General features: G+C 35.6%; 1 protein-coding gene across 20 annotated transcripts in view; it reads left to right on the top strand.

Moving 5' to 3' along the window:
• The window catches only part of DMD (dystrophin), a 2,220,167-nt gene that overhangs the window by 1,548,291 nt on the left and 649,177 nt on the right, over window positions 1–22,699 (top strand). For all 20 annotated transcript variants that reach the window (XM_006724469.4, NM_000109.4, XM_011545467.2 and 17 more), the window contains 1 exon segment: window positions 16,906–17,138. In XM_006724469.4, coding sequence (XP_006724532.1) covers window positions 16,906–17,138 — 233 coding nt within the window.

The following is a 22,699-nucleotide window of genomic DNA, read 5'->3' as shown; positions in this document are numbered from 1 at the left end:
GTGTGCTGGATATAGCTAAAATTTCCCAGGACCATTGAAAGAAATTCTCAAATCCACAACCACCTCAAGTGTTGTCTGTGAATCAAAGGAGTGATGCATTACCCACAAACATGTAGTAGACATTTTTTAAGTGATGTAGATGCTACTGCAATTAATAAATGCAAAATTATATTACAATATTACTGAATTCAGAATAAGTTGATTTTGTCACTATTTTTCTCAATCTACGCATGCTAGATATAAAGTTATTATATAGAGACGTAACATTTTTAATATTTCAGAAGCATGCTCATGATATTGTAAACCAGGCACTGTTAAAAGATCACTGGATTGGGAATTAATAAACCTGGGATCTAGTCCTCATTTGATCTCTTGTTGGCTATGGTTTGGGGGTTTTGGGCAAACTATTCAACCTTTTCTGCCTTGGTTTAATTGATAAATGATGGTGTTTTCCCAGATAAATCCCTTCCCAACTTAATATTACCAGATGTAGCATCTATGGTTTAGAATGTACAGTATAAATTAACCTTCCTGAAGATCTTCACAAGTTACTATAACCTATATTTTCATGGCACTGAAAACTAAGTTTTTGATAGCTTACGTTTTTATAAATAATTTACTTACTCATTTTTATCATAATAATAAATCTGATTCACTAATCACCAAAATATCATTTTTGAAAATAGATGCATGAAAGGATCCGAACTTGTTATGGTTTTATCTGTTCAAGTCACCTAATTTTGGTAGCCACAGGCCCCCATTGTCAATAGGGGAAGATTATCCATTTTAGCAATACAGTCTCTGATAACTTCAGCCCATATGCCCTTCAATTCCACTTTTACGTCAGATTGAATGGGAATGTGAGGCCCCCAGTAGTAAACTAACCCTACTTTCTCTTTGGAAATTGGTCTTTCTACCTAGCTCTTTGCCTCTGTTCACGTTCTTGTATTCCACAGAAAATATATACATTAGGTGTTAAAATCACAATGATTAACAATTTTTAAGTAGAAATAGTTATTAAGTATAGCATAATCATGCCTTTGAATTAGTACAAAAGTAGGAAACAGAGCTTTAGTGACTTTTTTCATTCTTTCCACCATTTACAGGGCAAAAATGAAGAATTTTACCAATTCAAAACTATGCACATGTATAGTTTCCACCAGTATTTAGTAGTTATGTTTCTCAAGATGTATAATTCCTTTCCTTTCTGTTTTCTGTAGTTTGATAAACCCTAGATAGGAGTTAATGTTGTTTCAGTTAGGTTTATTATTTCTTTTATGTGGTTTAATTTCATGCAATAAGCTAGAGATTTTGTAACATAACTTGATAAAAATTTTCTCCCTTCGTATCTTTTTGTTTTAAAATAATGGATTAATATAGATTGTAATTTTACAGTAGAGGAAATACATTTTACTTTTAGTTCTTATCTAGATATCTTAGGAAAAAAGAAACATCATTTTTAAGGATTATTATTTTTCTACTAATGAAAAAAATAGCATGATTTTCCATTCTGGACTTTGTAATTAACTTTACCTTGGAATAATTGAATCTTAAATATAACTTCATTGAAAATTTTATTTTCAAGTAACATTTTAAAATGCAAAATTTGTGTGATCTCTACTAAAAAGAACTCTCACATCCCAATGTGCTTATAGCTACAATAATTGGTTAAAAGAGACAAATTATAAAGAAGATATAGGTTGTGACATTGAAATTACAAAATGTGGATTAGGGAAGTAAGCGTGTAGAGTTTTGTATGCAATCAAAGTTAAGTTATTACCAGCTTAAAAAACCCTTACGTAAGATGTAAAGAAAAGCAAAAACCTATAGTAGCAAAAGCAAAAACCTATAGTAGATATACAAAAGGTAAAAAGTAAGGAATCAAAGTATACTACTGAGCAAAACAGTCAAACCATAAAAGAAGACAACAAAAAAAGGCATATAGAACAAAGGATCTACAAAACAATTAGAAAACAACTTTTTAAATGGCAGTAGTAAATTCCTACCTATCAATATTTACTTTGAATGTAAATGGATTAAATTCACCAGTCTAAAGATAGAGTGGCCAAATGGATTAAAACAACAAGACTCAACTACATGCTGCCCATAAGAGACTCACGTCATCTTTTAGGACACATGTTGACTGAAATAGAAGAGATAGAAAAAGATATTTTGGTTTCCATGCAAATGGAAACCAAAAGAGAATGGGGATAGCCATACTTCTATTAGACAAAATAGGCTTTAAAAATCAAAAACTAAAAAGACACAAAGAAGGTCATTAAATAATGATAAAAGGATCAATTCATCAAGAAGGTATAACAATTGTAAATATATATGCACCCAACATTGGAGTACCTAAATATATAAAGCAAATATAAAGTGATAAAAAGAAAGAGACAAACTACAGTACAATAATAGTAGGGGACTTCTACCCCAAATTCAACAATAGACAGAAAATCCACATTAAAAAATCAATAAGAATGCATTGGACTTTATGCTTTAGATCAAATAGACCTAGCAGACATATACAGTACATCTCATCTAACAGCAGGAGAATATACATTCTTATCAAGTGCACAAGAAACAATTCTTCAGGGTAGATCATATGTTAGGCCACAAAATGAGTCCTAACAAATTTAACAAGATTGAAAGCATGTATTTTATGTAAAACAACGCCATCATGGAAAAAGTACTAGTGTAAACAAGGTTTAAATATGATTTACTGATTGTTTAAAAAGGAATTATCTTAGCCCTGATCTGATGGGATTTCCCCTTTGTAAGCAGCAAAAATAAGTTCATAATGAAGCAACTGTAATAATACAGCTTCACAGATCTTTCTGAATAAACAGAGTTGGATATGTTTCTACTTCAGAAACCATTTACTGTGGGCTCACAGCTTTTCCATACACTCTTTACACTCTTAATTTTAAACCCATTCATCAAAAGGATTAAGACAATGAGATTCAAGTCCAAGACAATAGGAAGTATGTGCATCAAAACTGTCATGCTAATGCTCTGAGGAACATTGTTATTTCAATAGCATAATTTAAAACCACTGAAACCATGTTTTATTTATGATTACCTTTCATACGTTCAAAAAGAATTTGAGATGGTTTGGCAGGGATGTCTTAAAGAAACAAACACCAAATTTTTATTTGTTGTGCTTCTAACAAGCAATTTTTCCTACGTAAGTGTTACCTGTTTTCTCCCCTTGATTTTGATCTCTTTTGTATGGTTGGTAGTTGTCGCACTTCTGGGCATAGTATGGTTTTCTACAAGTTAAATAAAAACATAAATTGATTTTGATGTAGCTAGTTCCACTATTTCAGTTAGTGTGTTTTCCATACCTGCAATTCATAACATGTTTACTGACCCAGAACGTTAAAACTCAAGTTTAGTTCAATACAGTCACTTCAAACCAACTTAAGATAGCAGTTACATTTCCAAGGTCATTATGAAGACGGAGTTCAAGACTTCAGCAGTTGAATTTGTCAAGCTCATGGGTCTTTTAGTTACAGGAAGTGTGCATATTTCACATAAGAAACAGCAACTCTGATGATACATTGAAACTCAAATATACCCAAGGAGTGTAAAACTACTTTATAAGCCCTTAAACAATAAATATGCCAACAATCCTCTGCATACTTTTTGTCATTTTTTAGAGCATTCAATTGAATTATATAACATGTGATACCAATAAATAATTAACTTTTTATTTATTTATTTAGAGAATGATTCTTGCTTTGTCTCCCAGGCTGGAGTGCAATGGCATGATCTCAGCTCACTGCAACCTCCACCTCTTAGTTTCAAGTGATTCTCCTGCCTCAGCCTCCCAAGTAGCTGGGATTACAGCCATGCACCACCACGCCTGGCTAATTTTGTACTTTTAGTAGAGACAGGGTTTCACCATAATGATCAGGCTGGCCTTGAACTCCGGACCTCAGGTGTTCTACCACCTCAGCCTCCCAAAGTGCTGGTATTACAGGCATGAGCCACAGCGCCTGGCTTATAATTAACTTTAAAAAATATTCTACTATCGAATGCCTGAAAAAATCATATTACTTCTATGTATTAAAAACAAACTATTACGTAAATAGACCAGAGATACGGTGTCAGAGATGAGATTCCTTGGCAACAGTCTCTGAGACAAAAAGTTGCACACAGAAAGTATTTTGAGAAGTATTGTTGCTATTTATAAGGAAGTGAAGGAGGCAGTATTGGGCAGAGAGAAAAGCTCATCCACACTGCAGTTGCTACTGAGGCTTCAGCCCATGTGACAGGGACACTGGAGCTGGGATGGTCTTTCAGAGTTCTACCAAATTGAGGCAAATGGGCGAGACTTTTGTATCTTTGCACTAGCCAAGAGCAGGCACCAGGGAGAAATGCAGCTGTGATCCTTTTGTAGATATTATTATTCTGGAGTCAATGCAACCACACCACAAATACTAGGAATAATATTGGTAGTGTGGGTGCATCGACTCCAGAAGAGGATCTTGATGAAGCATTACAGTATCCACTACAGAGAGGCACTGGCATATTCTGCTTACCCCACAAATATTGCAATGAGGATGCAAGTAGGAGTAGTGAGGACATAAAATAAATCGATTATTTTCCACTGGGCCTTAATATATCAGAACCATTGGAATTTACAGGATGATATTTATTATAGTACTCAAAAAAATCTCTTTTAAATCTCCTTAACTCAGAAGGGAATTTTAAAAAGTCCACAATTCACCTGGTCTATGAATTCCCTTTTAAAATAAAATGTGGTTTAATCAAATTTACAAGAAAAAAACAAACAACCCCATCAAAAAGTGGGGGAAGGATATAAACAGACTCTTCTCAAAAGAAGACATTTATGTGGCCAAAAGACACATGAAAAAAAGCTCATCATCACTGGTCATTAGAGAAATGCAAATCAAAACCGCAATGAGATACCATCTCACATCAGTTAGAAAGGCGATCATTAAAAAGTCAGGAAACAACAGATGCTGGAGAGGATGTGGAGAAATAGGAACGCTTTTACACTGTTGGTGGGAGTGTGAATTACTTCAACCATTGTGGAAGACCGTGTGGCGATTCCTCAAGGATCTACAACCAGAAATACCATTTAACTCAGCCATCCCATTACTGGGTATATACCCAAAGGATTATAAATCATTCTACTGTAAAGACACATGCACACGTACGTTTGTTGCAGCACTGTTTACAATAGCAAAGACTTGGAACCAACCCAAATGTCCATCAATAATAGACTGGATACAGAAAATGTGGCACATATACACCATAGAATACTATGCAGCCATAAAAAAGGATGCGTTCGTGTCCTTTGTAAGGACATGGATGAAGCTGGAAACCATCATTCTCAGCAAACTAACACAGGAACAGAAAACCAAACACCGCATGTTCTCACTCATAAGTGGGAGTTGAACGATGAGAACACATGGAGATGGGGGAGGGGAACATCACACACCAGTTGGGGGATTGGGGGGCAGAGGGAGGGATAACGTTAGGAGAAATACCTAATGTAGATGAAGGGTTGATGGGTACAGCAAACCACCATGGCACGTGTATACCTACGTAGCAAACCTGTACATTCTGCACATGTATCCCAGAACTTAAAGTATAATTTAAAAAATGTGGTTGAAAAACAAAACCCACATAATACAAACTTTGCCAGCTTAACTGTTTTATGTGTACAAACCAGTAGTGTTAACTATACATACATTGTTATTCAACAGATCTCTAGAATGTTTTCATCTCTCAAATCCGAAACTCCAAACCCACTGAAGAGCTCCCATTGCTCCCTGTACCCCAGCACTGGCAATATGACCACTCTACTTTCTGTCTCTAAAGAGTTTAACTACTTTAGATACATCATATAAAAGGAAGCATGCAGTATTTGTCATTTTATGACTGGCTTATTTCACTTAGCATAATGTCTTCAAGGTACACCCATGTTGTAGCATAGGAAAGGATTTCCTTCTTTTTTTGTGGCCGAGTAATAATATTCCGTTGTGTCCTATACCACATTTTTTAATCCGTTTATCAATCAATGGACATTTTAGTTACTTCAATTTTTGGCTATTGTGAATTATGCCGCAGTTAATATGAGTGTGCAAATATCTCTTTAAGATCCTGTTTTTAATTCTTTTGGATATACAGATGCTCATTGATTTACACTGGGATTACATCCCAATCAGCCCATCATAAGTTGAAAATATCATGTCAAAAATTAATTTAATATGCCTAAGCTACCAAACATCATTGCTTAGTCTAGCATACTTTAAATGTTATCAGAACATGTAGATTACAGTACATCTGGGCAAAATCATCTTGCAACACAGTACATAGTAGAGTATCAATTATTTATCCTCATGATAAATATCATGCTGCAACCCAATATGTCAGAAGAGAGTATCATACTGCATATTTACTAGCCCTAGAAAAGATCAAAATTCAAAATTTGAAGTATGGTTTCTTAATGAATGCATATCGCTTTCACACCATTGTAAAGTCCAAAAATTACAAGTTAGACCTTAGTAAGTTGGGGACTAACCGTACACCCAGAAATGGGATTGCTGGATTATATGATAATTCTATTTTTATTTTTTGAGGACTGGATTATATGATAATTCTATTTTTATGTTTTGAGGAACTTCCATACGGTTTTCCATAGTGGCTACACCTTTTCACATTCCCACCAACAATGCAGAAGTGTTTCAGTTTCTCCACATCCTTGCCAGCACATGTTATTTTCTGTTTATGATCGTGGTCATCCTCATGGTTGTGAGGTAATATCTCATTGTGGTTTTCGTTCTTCATTTGCATTTCCCCGATGATTGACGATGTTGAGTATGTTTTCAGATGCTTGTTGGCTGTGTATATATTTTCTTTGGAGAAATGTCTATTTAAATCCTTGCCCATTTTAAAATCAGGTTAATTGTTTTTGGTGAATTCCTTATTAATTACTCACCTCAGAGCCTTTCTTCTTAAAATACAGATTTCTCAGAACCTTTCATCTAATTTACTAAATGTTGATCTTGAAGAAGTATTTTAATTTATCTGAATTTAGTTTCCCGTTCTATAAATTGATAGTAATCATGTTTTCCCTATCCACACCAGAGTGGTATGATGAGGAACCAATGCAGAAAATGACTAAAAAGGCATTTTTATGCTGTCCAGATCTTGTGCAAATATATTATAATTGATTTGAACCAAAAGAATCTACATTTTAAGACTATTTAATATTGTCGCATTTACATTGCACTAATGGTTCCTCTTTTTTCTCACTGATGAAGTTCTAGATTGAAACTCTGAGGAAACTGTAAATCACAGTTACATAACTCTGTTATATTAATTTATATAACTTCTCTGTCTCTCTCTAAATATATATATTTAGACTATATATACATATGCATATATATATTTAGAGAGAGAACGAGATTACACTTAAGGACTCTGCTTAGTACATTGCAACTTGCACCTCATTCTAATTGTGAAAACAACAACAAATTTTGATTGAGACCCTGTTATTTTTCAGACCTTTGGTCTTGTGAGGAAGGAAAAGATGATTCTGATACTTATCTCAAATAGCTTATCATCTCCTCTGGTGGATGAGGCTTGTGAGGGCCTGACACATGGTAGAGGATCTTATTCATTATATAACAACTTTCAAAACACATCACTAATTATTTTTCTGCTTAAGGTGAAAACGTAGCTCTCCCAAACAAATAAGAGATTTAGACTGAATTCTGTAGAAAACACTGCTTACCTCATTTTGCTTAGTTTTCACTGCAGAGTCTTGTCTCTAACATTCAGGTAGGAGGAACTCTATTTTAAAAAATTGAATAAACAAACCCAAATCAGAATAAATTATTTAATTCAGGAGTTTTTTAAGGTGCTCAGAATTTTGGTAGAATAGCAGTGTATTTTCTGTAATAAGAACTACACAATGTTCTCTAGCTGGTTATACTCAAATGGTTATATGGATTTTATTCTGATATCAGTTTTGCAATTGATGACCACCCTTCATCAATAGCGTGGTCTTTATTATGGTTTCATCTGGCTTTTTCTTCCCTTGTCTTCTGCACTGGGCTGCCTACTTCTTGGCTCTTATTATTACATACTCTACTTTTTTCATATACAAAGGTCTTAGTGCATTAATAGTGAGTTTCTGCTAAAAGTGTTACTTTCTTCAAATATCCTGTCAAATGCTGGCTGCCTGATTTATTGACCTCATAGAGTGACTATGTGAATCTTCCATTCTCTGTGGAATTCCATTCCACATTTTAACTTAAAGACTCCGTCTTTTCCAGCTGTGTTCTCTCTGCTGGATAAGCATTTTTCTTTTAATTTCTGTGGTAATGGGAAGGGAATTTTAAATCCTGTTTTGCGTACAAGTGTTTAACAGGTAAAAATGGATGCTGTGTCAGCTATCTATTGCTGTGTAACAAGCTACCCCAAATGTAGAGACTTAAAATAAGAATCATTTTTTTTTTTTAGCTCATGATTCTTGATTCTGCTTGGGGCTTGGTTCATCGAGGCGATTCTTTTGCTAGACTCAGCTGTGCTCATTCATGCACTCGTGGTCAGCTGGTAGTTGATGACCACATGTGGCATTCATATGTCTGGTATAACTTTTTGGTTATAAGTTGAGACGGTGTGGGTGACAGGATCACTTGCCTGTAATTATTCATCAGGCTAGCATAGTTCCATAGCGGTGGAAGAGTTCCAAGCATAGCCCAACACCCAAGCATTGTTAAGCCTCTGCTTATGTCATGTTTGCTGATACCTCATTAGCCGAAACAAGTGACTTGACCAATCCATATTCAAGGAGTGGAGAAACAGACTATGGCTCTTAATGGGAGAATCTGGAATATCTCTTGACAAAAGTGTAGATGCAAGAGGAGAATCTGTGGACATTTACTCTCCAGCAGAGATGTTGTCATTTTTGTCACTAAGACAGTTCCTGTGTAATATTATTTATTATTCCTTGGCAGCCATAAGTTTGTGGTTTACTTATGGATACTTCAGTGCCTGCCCAATATCATGTTGGAAAGAGAAGCCCTTAACAATTTCTCTTAATTTCTACTTCTGAGGAATGAGAAAAAAAAAATTGGATAGGCATAAATGATTTCCAGCACAAATTCTAAGCAGCTATTTGAGAGGTGGGTGGGTAGGGAGAGATGGAAAATCCTTTTAATTGAGACATGCTCAACCATAAGCAATTTTTCTTTCCTCAGGAGACATTTGGTAATGTCAGGAGACATTTTTGGTTGTACATCTAGGAGGGAGCTCTGGCCAGAGATACTGACAAGCAATTCTGATCCTACAATGCACAGGACAGCCACTCACGACAAAAAATTATCTGGGACAAAAATGTCAATAGTGCTGAGATTGAGAAACCCTGCTTTTCACTGAGCGCATGTAGATGAATTCATATAATGTTAGTTATAGAAGGGCACTTAGATGATGCCAACTAAAACAGGAAAAGGCAATGATTATTTCTCTATTCAAGTTAGTGAAGGAAGGATATGTTTAAAGTCAGGTTGGAGATATTTCTCAAGGGTAATATTTAAGTTGTGAGTGGATGCCAGATGCGCTTGATTGTTACAATCCATATTTTTATAGCTATATCAAATGATCTTCTCTCCCAAATTAAAATGGATATTAGATATATTTCATGGATACCATATATTATAAGCTATAGCTCTTAGAAGTATTTGAGTGATTAATAATTCTTGCATATTGAATGAGACATGTAAGAAAGATACCTGATGTCCTATGATTCTTAGAAATATGTGCAGTGGTTAAGCACATTGTCTTGGAAACATCACTTGTTAATGTGAGATCCTGAACAAGTTTCGTTACCTTGGTAAAAGGGGGATGATAACATCTACCCTGAAGATGGTTTGGTAAAGGTGAAATAAAAGAGGGTTTATGAAGAACCTTGCCTAGCACATAAGAATCACTGAGTAAATGATGGGGGTGATGGCAGTGTTGGTGGCAATTATCTTACTTGTAAGTAGTAGCAAATATTTATTTGGATTATATTTTTAATAGCAAGAAAGAATCTATTAAAATGTAAGCAAATAGCACCATTAAGCTTTAAAAATCCATAGCTCCCAAACTTAACATTTTTTTTTCTTAAATCCAGAAATACAAATGGTTATCATGAATCCTTGAGTTCCAGTACTCCGGCCTTGCCTATGTAGAGTACAAGCATTTATTTTTCTAAAATGAGAATTATTGATGTTAGGTGTGTCATATATTTTATTTACTCTTTAGAGTGACAGAAAAGAAAGCAGACAAAAATAAGTGTTTATGTGTTCATAGTGTTTGTTTCTAATTTTCCAACTTGTATGTGCAGACTGTAAATATTTAGAGGGAAGACATGAAATTCTTCCTTACCTACACAATAGATTGTCTTTCTTAGAATCTAGACATGATTTCAAATTTTCTTCAGAAGTTCTCTTGAATTCTTACGGAATTCATTAATCCAAATGCCATCCTTTCAAATATTCAAAAAGAAAATATTCTCCAATGTTGCTTACATGGAGGAGAGTTATTTTATCTACTAGTGAGATGGAAGTCGCTAACAATCTTTCTTATACCCCATAGTATTAAATAGTAATGCAATTTGATCACATATAACATTGCTCTCCTGTTGACATGGAATGATAAGGAGGAAGGGAATATCTAACAGCACTTTTTAGATATTCTCTCATAGAATTGTTAATGTGAGCCCAATAACTTATTTTGTAAGTTGAGTGATTTTTCAAATATAAAAGTGAAGCAAACAAAAAAAGTTACCCACATTCATTCAACAAAGCTAGAAATAGAGTATGTGCTTCTTGCTTTCTTATCAACCAAAGGAGACCTGTGAATTACAGGAAAACCATGTGTGAATACTTCAAAGGAAATATGCCAAACACATTGTGTGTGTGTTTTAAAAGATTTAGTAGCTCCTTTAAAGCTCTAAGTAAAGCTGTTAGTCTGACTAATCATGTACCCCTGAAACCAATTAAATTTTCAGACTAGAGAAGTGTTCTTCAAACACTTGAAAAAAATAAGAGTTCCTTCCTAAAGCCAACACCTTTTAATTAACAAAATACTCAGAGCAAAGCTGTGGTTTGCAATAGTATATTACACCTACTGTTATTCATGCTACCATTCTGGTGTGCCAAACTCAATTCATTTCAACTATTTTGAGCTTGATTTTCTGTCTGCTTAACTATGGAGGGAAAACCACAATTTTAGTAGAGTCATTTTAATTTTCTAATGAATGCATGAGAAAGGTATTATGCTACATAGTATGTCCTCAGACTATTCAGATGCCCTCTCTCTCTCTTGCTCTGTCTCTGTCTGTCTCTCTTTACACACACACACACACACACACACACACACACAATGTGTGTATCTATCTGTCTACCTAGATATACAGTTTAATTTTGTACATTGTAATACATCTGGTTCTGGCATAAGGTGATTGAGCAAAAAACAAACAAACAAAACCCACCCAAATCTGTTACTGGAGGAACCTTTAATAGCATAACATCAGAAAGACTATTTTCAGTAAGGACCCTAGGCAGGAAAAGACAATTCCTCCAATGGACTTGAGAAGAATACCCTTAGTCTCTGAGGTGGTTAGAGAGGCTGAGATCTGAACCAGCTAATACCAGAGCCAGCTTCTTGTAACCCAAGATAGGGGCATAAGAAACGGGGTGAATGCCCAGGCATGAACAGACTTGGGGTTAAGATTAAATAGGGTACACGGGAAAGGATTTCCGCCAGCTGGAGGGGAAGCCATTTCCCATGCTCCTTAGGGATGACAACAGGAGACCCAGCCCAGAACATCATTGAAAATTCTATGTAATAATTTATATATCCTAACTCTTTACCCGTTCGTTCTAGATTATGGATTCAGGCACTCTTAGCAAAACAAATCCTCTTTCAGTCTTTTAAAATATTGACTTAACAGGAAATATCCTTGGCACAACAATACGACCCTGCCTGACCCTTAGAACTGTGAACAGGTTGCTCAGACTGTACAAAACCACTAACAAATCTGACCAGCCTACACTTCACTGAAAAAGGTGATTTGCATATATTTCTAGTACTATGACATGGTGGAAAAGAAAGAACCGCATATGTGTTAGATAAAGGTAAACGCATCTGAAAGTGCAGTAAGAATCAATGTGATATATACAATAAAATAAGATAAATAGGCCGGGCATGGTGGCTCATGCCTGTAATCCCAGCACTTTGGGAGGCCGAGGCAGGCAGATCACGAGGTCAGGAGATCGAGACCATCCTGGCCAACATGGTGAAACCCCGTCTCCACTAAAGTACAAAAAATTAGTTGGGCATGGTGGCAAATGCCTGTAGTCCCAGATACTCAGGAGGCTGAGGCAGGGGAATCGCTTGAACCCGCGAGGCAGAGATTGCAGTGAGCTGAGATCACGCCACTGCACTCCAGCCTGGCAACAGAGCAACACTCTGTCTCAAAAAAAAAAAAAAAAAAAAAAAATTTCAGGACTTCAAAACTTCTGTCCTTTGAAACACTTTGATTAAAAAATGAAAAAAATATATACATGCCTGAATCCAGAGGCAAGTCTTTTTAGAAAACATAAAATATTTTAAGTAATGTTTTTCTGAACAGAAATGGCTCTAATGTGAGAGGTCGATGAAGATTAGCCTCTTGCTTCTTTATGTTTTAAAGTATATTCCTTGAGACCCAAAGTTTCTGACTTTAGAATCCAACTCTCAACTACTATCAGCTATCCTCTAGACACTTTCAAAATCCTCCAAAACCTAATAGTGGTGCAAGATTTTGTCCTTCCTAGTGATAACTAGATTTAAGTAAGAAAACGTTAAAGACTAAAAAGTGTTTAGGACCCACAAGAAAGGTGTAATTCTGTTCCTCATGGAGATATTTTAGTTACACACTTCTTATTCTGGTCCTCCCCAAAACACAGAAATCTAGAGTTGACATTTAAAGAGAAAATGAGATTTTTGTCTGGAAACAGGAGAGAAAAAGTTTTCAAGAAGTATAGAAAGCGTATGAAAGGACACAGGTTTGAAATGGCCTGTGCTCATGAGAGAATGCACAATAGACATGGGTGTGGAGGAGCCTGGAAAGAATGGAGAGAGGTAAGTCTGGAGGGTCAAATCTGGTTCAGAGTACAGAGCATAAAATCCCATACGAATGTAGAACATGAGGAGCCAATAACCATTGTGTGAGAAATGCAGGAAAAAGAGGAAGAAAAAAATCCACATAGTGTACTTACAGTCAGAACAATCCTAGGAGGTGACTTACATGTATGATGTCATAAAATCCGTAACACAATTCCATTAGATTGGTACTGTTTTCATAGTTACACAGGTGAAAACTTTTGAGGGTCAAGATGTTCATTGTAGCAGGCATAGTATAATTCCTTACCTCAAGATGCCTCCAATGTCAGTGAACATTACTTTTCCAAGATTGTCTATTTAGGAAAAAGTAAGGCCAGTTGTCTATGAAGGAAGTACTATTATAATCGCCACTTTACAGAGGAGTAAATGGAGATTCAGAGAGGTTAAGTCATCTGACTATAGTTACACAGCTAAAAAAAAAAAAAATTATAGAGCAAGGATTCAAATACAACAATCTGGTCCTAGAAAGCCTAAATATTCTACACCCTGCTTTCTGATTCAGAGCTATTTCCTGCTTTTCTCCCTTCGATAGGAAAAAAAATGTATGTGTGTGGGGTTGGGGGCAAATAAATTGACTGGCTGTATTTTCTCTCTTTAATATTTGATCTTTCATTGTCTGCTCCAAGCAGTGGGTCTTCCTCCATTATCTTCTCGTGAAAATAGCTAAAATCACCTAACTAGTAAAAACCTAGGCATGTTTTGTGTTCTAGCCTCCATTCTTCCATTCTAATGGGTGGCTGTTAAATTTTAGTACTCATTGTATGTAGAAGACCTCTAAGTTCACTAAAGAGCTTACTGCACATTGACTTTTCTTTAGATTCAAAGGGAATCAATTGAGCACCTCCTATACTCCAGGACATGTGCAAGATGCAAGAGATAGAGCAGTGAGAAAGTCTGATAAGGTTTCCCCTCCCTTTCCCAGCAGTGTACAGATAGATGTTCTTCAGGTGGTGCATGCTGGAGAAGAGAAGACCAGAAATACTGGCCTGACGGGTCTATAGATGAGATTATCTGCCCATGACTGGCGCAGGGATGGCCGCATTGCTAGACCTCTCCATCATCCTCTGAATATGCTTCAGCTAATTTATCATCCCAATGGCATATTTAGTCATCATGAACCATTCTCTCTTTTTGAGTCTCAGGCCCTGGCCTTGCTTTTCAATAGACTTCCAATAGATTCCTTCCTCCTTCCTTCCCTTACTGCCTGGCTTCCTGACTTCCTTCCTTCCTGCCTTCCTGCCTTGTCTTGCCTTGCTTTTCAATAGATTCCCTCCCTCCCTCCCTCCCTCCTTCCTCCCTCCCTCCCTCCCTGACTTTCTTCTTTCCTTCTTCCTTTCTGTCTTTTTCCAAACGTGCTTTTCAGGAAACAGTGGTCTGCTTGTTGAAGTCTGATAATTCTCTAGTTCCTCATCCTTCACTTTATTGAAATTTAGTGTGACATGATCATTTCCACCTCATTAGGTACTTCTTTCATGGTCAGAAGTAAGTCTGGAGAAAAAAAAAAAATCTCTTGTCTCTGCTCTTATTTGAGGGTCAAATTTTCAATAAGTCACTTTTTAAAAAAGCATTTTCTGACACTTCCCATAAGCTTGAAATCCTCCTAAATTGCTGTATATTGCCTCAGTATACCTTGTGTATCTATTTTAGGAACACTCCATCCACATTTGCCAGTCAGCCTGGTGTTCTGCAGTTAGTTCCTACAGTGATATTTTAATTTAGCTCTCTTTTCATCCTCACACATGCATCCTCTCTGGATATTTAGCTCCTTTCCTGGAATCCCTTTTAAGATTTCTAGATCTTTTTGCTTCCATGATTTCTTCTCCTGGACTGTGACACAAAATGCTATTTCTTCTTTACATTACATTTAATTCTTTCTAGAAAGAGCCTCAGAGTAGTCAGATAGCTTTGAGAAACAAAACTTTTTCTTTATTGCCTCACTGTTACTGCCTTTCAATCATTGTTTCGTGACACAAATTTTTTTATTCTCTCTGACAATTAAAACACTATTTTTTTCTGTCTGCATTGATCAAAATTAGTTCCTTCATTCATAGAAAACTCTTGGTGTCCCTGAGAAGCTTGAGAGACAAGAAACATTCTTCCATTCTACTCATCTTCTTCTCTAATGAGGAGACAACCTTAAAAGCACAGTTACATAGCCATAAAAATTAATGATTGGCTACCTCAGAATGAAAATTCAATGTCTCATTTTTTTTTAATATTCTTAGAATCGTTCACTGGTTGTCCAGTGTGAGTCTCCTGTTGAGATGTCTTTTGCAGCTTTCCTTGAAACCTTTCATTCCAAACTACATAGTCCAATAATTTTGCCACCAATCTTCTGGTTATATTATGCTCTTGAGTCTGTTGTCTATAAACTTGATTAGGCATTCCTTCCCCTCACCACTCACCTCTGATAACCCAGCTGTGTGTTGGTATTTAGTATCAATTCACACCAGCAAGTTCAGCCCTCTTCAATCAATATAGGGCCACACACGGACTTTTGACTGACTACTCCCCAAGTATTTCACATTTTGGGGCCTTATCTCCAGTTTCTCACCACAGTTGTTCATCACTGTGTTTCTTACTAGCCAGGCGTTTATAAAAACAGTAATACCTAACACTATTGATCACCTACTATAGTGTCAGGCGCTGTAATAATATTATTGTGATGATGATGATTATGCTGCTCTTTCTGGCATTGTCATACGTGTATTGCTTGTACTACTCACTGAATCTACACAACTGCCCTTATGACATTTACCCTGTTATTATTCCTCTTTTAAGGTAAATACATGAAAAATGCTTCCCACTTTGCCTTGCTTACTGCTTATTGCTAGTACTGAACAAATGTTAGAACTGAAACTTAGAGAGGTTATGTGGCTTTACCAAGGTCCCAGAGTTCCTAGGGCAGAGAACAGGATTGTCTACCAGACATTTTAATTCTAGTACTATGCATCTTAACCATTACCATAGGCTGACTTACTCTACAGTGTCCAACACTATTCATATTAAGATTTATTTAATGACTTTGAAACAGTATTTCATGTCTAAATAGAAAAACTACTAACTCGCATTTTTAAGAAAATATTGTATCTTGGTTTTTCTTCACTGCTGGCCAGTTTACTAACAATCTGAAATAAAAAGAAAAAAATATGATAAACTGCTCCCAGTATAAAATACAGAGCTAAGACAAGAACGTTTCATTGGCTTTGATTTCCCTAGGGTCCAGCTTCAAATTAATTTACTTCCTATTCAAGGGAATTTTAAATCAGAAAGAAGATCTTATCCCATCTTGTTTTGCCTTTGTTTTTTCTTGAATAAAAAAAAAATAAGTAAAATTTATTTCCCTGGCAAGGTCTGAAAACTTTTGTTTTCTTTACCACTTCCACAATGTATATGATTGTTACTGAGAAGGCTTATTTAACTTAAGTTACTTGTCCAGGCATGAGAATGAGCAAAATCGTTTTTTAAAAAATTGTTAAATGTATATTAATGAAAAGGTTGAATCTTTTCATTTTCTACCATGTATTGCTAAACAAAGTATCCACATTGTTAGAAAAAGATATATAATGTCATGAATAAGAGTTTGGCTCAAATTGTTACTCTTCAATTAAATTTGACTTATTGTTATTGAAATTGGCTCTTTAGCTTGTGTTTCTAATTTTTCTTTTTCTTCTTTTTTCCTTTTTGCAAAAACCCAAAATATTTTAGCTCCTACTCAGACTGTTACTCTGGTGACACAACCTGTGGTTACTAAGGAAACTGCCATCTCCAAACTAGAAATGCCATCTTCCTTGATGTTGGAGGTACCTGCTCTGGCAGATTTCAACCGGGCTTGGACAGAACTTACCGACTGGCTTTCTCTGCTTGATCAAGTTATAAAATCACAGAGGGTGATGGTGGGTGACCTTGAGGATATCAACGAGATGATCATCAAGCAGAAGGTATGAGAAAAAATGATAAAAGTTGGCAGAAGTTTTTCTTTAAAATGAAGATTTTCCACCAATCACTTTACTCTCCTAGACCATTTCCCACCAGTTCTTAGGCAACTGTTTCTCTCTCAGCAAACACATTACTCTCACTATTCAGCCTAAGTATAATCAAGGATATAAATTAATGCAAATAACAAAAGTAGCCATACATTAAAAAGGAAATATACAAAAAAAAAAAAAAAAAAAAGCAGAAACCTTACAAGAATAGTTGTCTCAGTTAAATTTACTAAACAACCTGGTATTTTAAAAATCTATTTTATACCAAATAAGTCACTCAACTGAGCTATTTACATTTAAACTGTTTGTTTTGGCACTACGCAGCCCAACATATTGCAGAATCAAATATAATAGTCTGGGAATTGATTATTATCCACTCTTCTAAGTTGTCTGTGCCAATTTGCCTTCTCCAATGATAAGGATAATTGAAAGAGAGCTATAACTTAAAAAGAGAAAAGTAACAAAACATAAGATATTTAAAATTACCCTAGATCTTAAAGTTGGCATTTATGCAATGCCATGTTCAAATGAACATGTTTTTAATACAAATAGTGCATTTTTCAGCCTCAGTGTAATCCATTTGGTAAAATTATGACATCAACTAGAAACATTAGAATACATTGATGTAAATATGGTTTACCTAGCTAGATCAAATATACTATATATCTTTTATATTTGTGAATGATTAAGAAAAATAATGTTGGAATTGTTATACATTAAAGTTTTTTCACTTGTAACAGCTTTCAAGCCTTTCTAAAGAAATACAAAGTTGTGCTGAAGGTATTTAGGTATTAAAGTACTACCTTTTGAAAAAACAAGAAGTGAGGCAGACAGAGTAAGGGGAATTTCTTTGTAAAATAAACTTCACCAATTCCATAGGAATAAAAGTAATTTGATAGTAAACAACCTGCATTTAAAGGCCTTGAGCTTGAATACAGAAGACCTGAATTCAGTGCCATTTGCAAATGATGATTGTGGTCAAGCCATCTCTGGATCTTCGTTTCCTATTCTGAGTACAGAGCATACAGAGTACACATTCACATTCACAATATAGTTATGGATATGGATGTATATAAATATATGTAAATACTACATATATGTACCTAAAATTTGTTTTACTTCTGCTTTAAAAAAAGTAATTATAGCCACATTTTTCAGAAAAAGTAACTGAGGCTCATAGATGTCAAATTCCCAGTAAGTAGCAGAACAAGGATTCAAATCCAAGTCCATTTGATTCCTAAGCTTGTGTTATTACTTGCTACTGCAGAGAGTATACGTAGCAAGTAATATATGTACTGCAAGCAATACATACTATTGCTGCGGTAATAACTGTAACTGCAGTTACTATTTAGTGATTTGTATGTAGATGTAGATGTAGTCTATGTCAGACACTATGCTGAGCATTTTATGGTTGCTATGTACTGATACATACAGAAACAAGAGGTACGTTCTTTTACAATACCATATTGAGTTATATAATACTCCCAGGACTTTTATTTACCAAAGGAAACAATATTTTATAATGTTTAAAGCCCAGGTTTTGAAGTTACATTGTCTGGGTTCAAAGCTTGGCTCCCAAGCTGTGTGACCTTGAGTAAGTTATTCTGCCTACCTGAGCCCAAGTTTATCTAGCTATAAAATGGGGATAGTTGTACTATCTGCCTTGCAGTTTGTCATCAGGATTAAGTTGGTTGGTACATGAAAAATGCTTCCCACTTTGCCTTGCTTACTGCTTACTGCTAGTATTGAACAAATGTTAGTAATTATATTTGGTTCCACCACGAACTCTAGAAATCTAACCAATGATGGCATTTGTATTATGCAAACTGTATATCACATCATAATATTATATGGAAATGAGAGCTTGTTTCCGCTTCTGTAGCCTAGTCTACCATTGACATAGCTTCCTGCAGAAGTTACCAGATAATAGATTGGGAGAGAAAGTCCACACTTCCTTGTGACGGGTTTGTGAGTCCAGCATTTAGGGAAGCCATTGATGTGCTCAGTAGTCTCCAGAGTTCTCTAAATAAATGTGTCCTTTTCAGAAAGGACTACTGATTTGATGCCCCCTCACAGAGATCGTCTTTAAATATAGGTCAAAAACTAATGTAGAGGGCCAGGTGCAATGTTTCACGCCTGCACTCCCAGCGCTTTGGGAGGCTGAGGCAGGTGGATCACTTGAGGTCAGGAGTTTGAGACCAGCCTGGTCAACATGGCCAAACCCCATCTCTACTGAAAATAAAAAAATTAGCTGGTGTGGTGGCCCATGCCTATAATCCCAGCTACTAGGGAGGCTGAGGCAGGAGAATCACTTGAATCCTGGACCAGAGGTTCCATTGAGCTGAGATCACACCATTGCACTCCAGACTGAGTGACAGAGTGAGACTCCATCTCAGAAAAAAAAAAATTTAGGGGGAAAAATCAAAAGCCATTTCTGAGACACAAAAATACAGGATTTATAAATTATATATGGTATATATAAAAATATTTTTAAAATAGTATATATAGCATATTATATATAATGATATGTAATGTTCATATATTACATATTTATAAAAAAATCTAATCTCCCTTCTCTTGCTTGCTGAATAGGGGGATGCTTTGCCTGCCTCTTCCTCTTATATTAAAAAATAATTCTTAAAGACATTGTCAGTTCTTGGCTTTTATAGCCTCAATCACCAAATTGTCGGTAAAATGGCCCTAAATAATCATTAAACAAATGTGTGTGAGAGGGGAAATAAGAAGGATAAGTAAGTATGGGGAGGATTTTGTTATAATTTCAGGAAATCAATATCAATTTTATGTAAAGTTTTAAATAAAGCAATCCCAACTTTAATGTTTGATGTGTGAAAAATTAGGCAAAATTCCAAAAGGGCTTTATAAACTGAAAAAAACTTTACTAACACCTATCCATTTTTATTATTTTAACCAACTTCTATTGAGCTGCCACTAAGTACCTGGGAAACATAAAGTTGTACAACATAGAATGTGCAGGTAAAAGAGGTTGAAGGAAGAAAATAATAACACTATGATAGAGATAAATTTTAGGATAATAGCTAACACATATGATATGCCAGTCATTGATCTAAGTACTTCACGTGAATTCTTTAATGCTTACAACATTACTGTGAGGTAGATAGAGAGGCACAGTAAGGATAATAACCTGCCTGAGATCGAGGAAGAAAGACAATGATGAGATGTGAACTCAGGCAGTTTGGTTCCAGAGTCCTCTCCCTTAAACCTCATAGTTTTCAACTTCTCTGATATTGTGTGGGTGATGCTGTTGGGGCTTTCTTCAGGGAAAACTAAGCCAGGAGAGAGAATGGATGCTAGTGAGATATTCCTGAAGAAGGAAAAACTTAAGCCAGGCATTAAAGAATGAGTTGGAATTACCTAGCTAGATAAAACGAGAAGGGCAATCCAGGCAGAGGGAACAGACTGTGCTTTTCACTGAGGTGGAAAAAAAACAGAGTATATCAGAGGAATTGTGATTCCATATGGCTGAAGTTAAGGGTATATGATGAGGAAGAAATTGATGAGGTTGAATAGAGAGGACTGGGGCTAAATAATGGGAATCCTTTGTTGCCAGACTGAGGAATTTTGATGATGGCCTACAGGCAGTGGCAACTCTGAAAGGATTGTAAACAGGAAAATAAAATCATCACATATAGTTTAGTTGCCTATCAATTAGAGCTCTCTGGATGCAAGCAACAGAAATCATTCTCTGATTAAATCAGGCAGAAAGTAAATGTGCTGTAATTAGCACAAAGGCATTGGAACAAAACTTACAAAAGGAAAAAGAATCTGAGCATGCCTTTCTGGGCATGTGGCTAGCAAGAAGTATTCCAGTCTGTTTGTGATACTCTCTTTTCTCCATCCTGTGTGTAACTCTGTTCAAATTTTAAAGTCTTAAAAGAGAGTCCAGTTCACCTTGTTTGGGTCACATGTTAATACATGAGCTAGAAGGGAGCAGAAAACTTTGATTTAAATCCCTCTCCTCCCAAAGTCTCAAAATTAGGGAAAGGCAATTCTCCTGAATAGAAACTGGGTTCTATTGACAATAGAAGAAGGAAATGATTCTGACCAACCACTAAACAATAATTGTCCACTGAACTCAGTCAAGAACATGTAGAATAAGTTGGAGGATAGAGCAAATAAAGGAGATTTGTAGGAGGTAATTATTATGATCTAAAGCAAGCTTGTTCAACTCATGGCCTGTGAGCCACATGCGTCCCAGGATGGCTTTGAATGTGGCCCAACACAAATTTGTAAACTTTCTTAAAACATGAGATACTTTTTGTGACTTTTTTTTGCTCATCAGCTATCATTAGTGTTAGTGTATTTTATGTGTGGCCCAGGACAATTCTTCTTCCAGTGTGGCCCAGGGAAGCCAAAAGATTGGATACAGCTGATCTAAAGCAACAGGTTCATCTACTCAACTTCACAACGTGTAGACCTGAAATAAAGACCATTCATATACCAATACCTGAAATATAAATTTGTTTGACCATGACACGTACAGTAATTGGTTCTCAATAAATGTGGATAGCTTGATGGATAATGTGAATGCAATGTGATAAGGAAACTTCATATTCAACAAAGACTGGAATGTGAGGATTATAATTCCAAAGCACCAGAAGATAGATAAGATAATGCAATGAGACATTTTATGACTCAAGGCAAAGTTAGTTATGAGATTCAGACCAAACCTTAGACGTGCAGTAATTGAAATATTTGCCACAGAAGGGGTATAAGGACATGACATTCAAGTAAGCTAACCTTTCACTAGCTTTAGACTTTGAACTCAGAAAACATATTTGGTGAAAAGCTTATGGTCCCCTTTAGTATGTATTGCTTGATTAAAGTATTATTTTAGAAAATGGTGAGCTGCTTCCATTTTGAAATAAAAATAATTTTTACTAAGTGAATTATATTCAGTGAAAAAAATGGAAGCTACAATTACAACTTTAATTTTTTTAAGTTTTAAGAATACAGCCATTTAAAAAAATTAAGCAAATCTGCTTCATTTTAGACAGTAGAAAATATACCATTATCTTTTAGAAGAATAGAGATGTGAAATATGCAAATTAAGCCTTTAGAAGTAAAGCACACATGAAGTTCAAAGTTTAATTTCTAGAATTGTGAATCAATAGCAGTGGATGATTTGTACTTTATAGCTTAGTGTCGGAGAAATCTGATTAAAAAATGCTTTTTCTGTTTCATCACATAAACATAAGTAAAATTGCTCTGAAACAACAATATTTGACAAGAATTAGCAGTTTTCTTTTTTGACATAATCTATCAAATGAAGGGAAAAATATGTCCTGGGTTTTGCTTTGAGAGTGATTACTAAATCTGACCCTTAAGGAAAGGAAGGAGAGAACAAAGAAGGGAGGAAAGAAAGGGAAGGAAGGAGGAGGAAAGGGAAAAAAAGAAGGAAGAGAGGAAGGAAAGCAGGAAAAAGGGGAAGGAGAGAGAAAAGACAAAAGAAAGGTAGCAAGGAAAGAAAAAAAGAC

Source organism: Homo sapiens, chromosome X (genome assembly GCF_000001405.40).
Source record: "Homo sapiens chromosome X, GRCh38.p14 Primary Assembly".
Lineage (NCBI taxonomy): Eukaryota > Metazoa > Chordata > Mammalia > Primates > Hominidae > Homo > Homo sapiens.
This window is presented reverse-complemented; position numbering and strand designations above follow the sequence as displayed.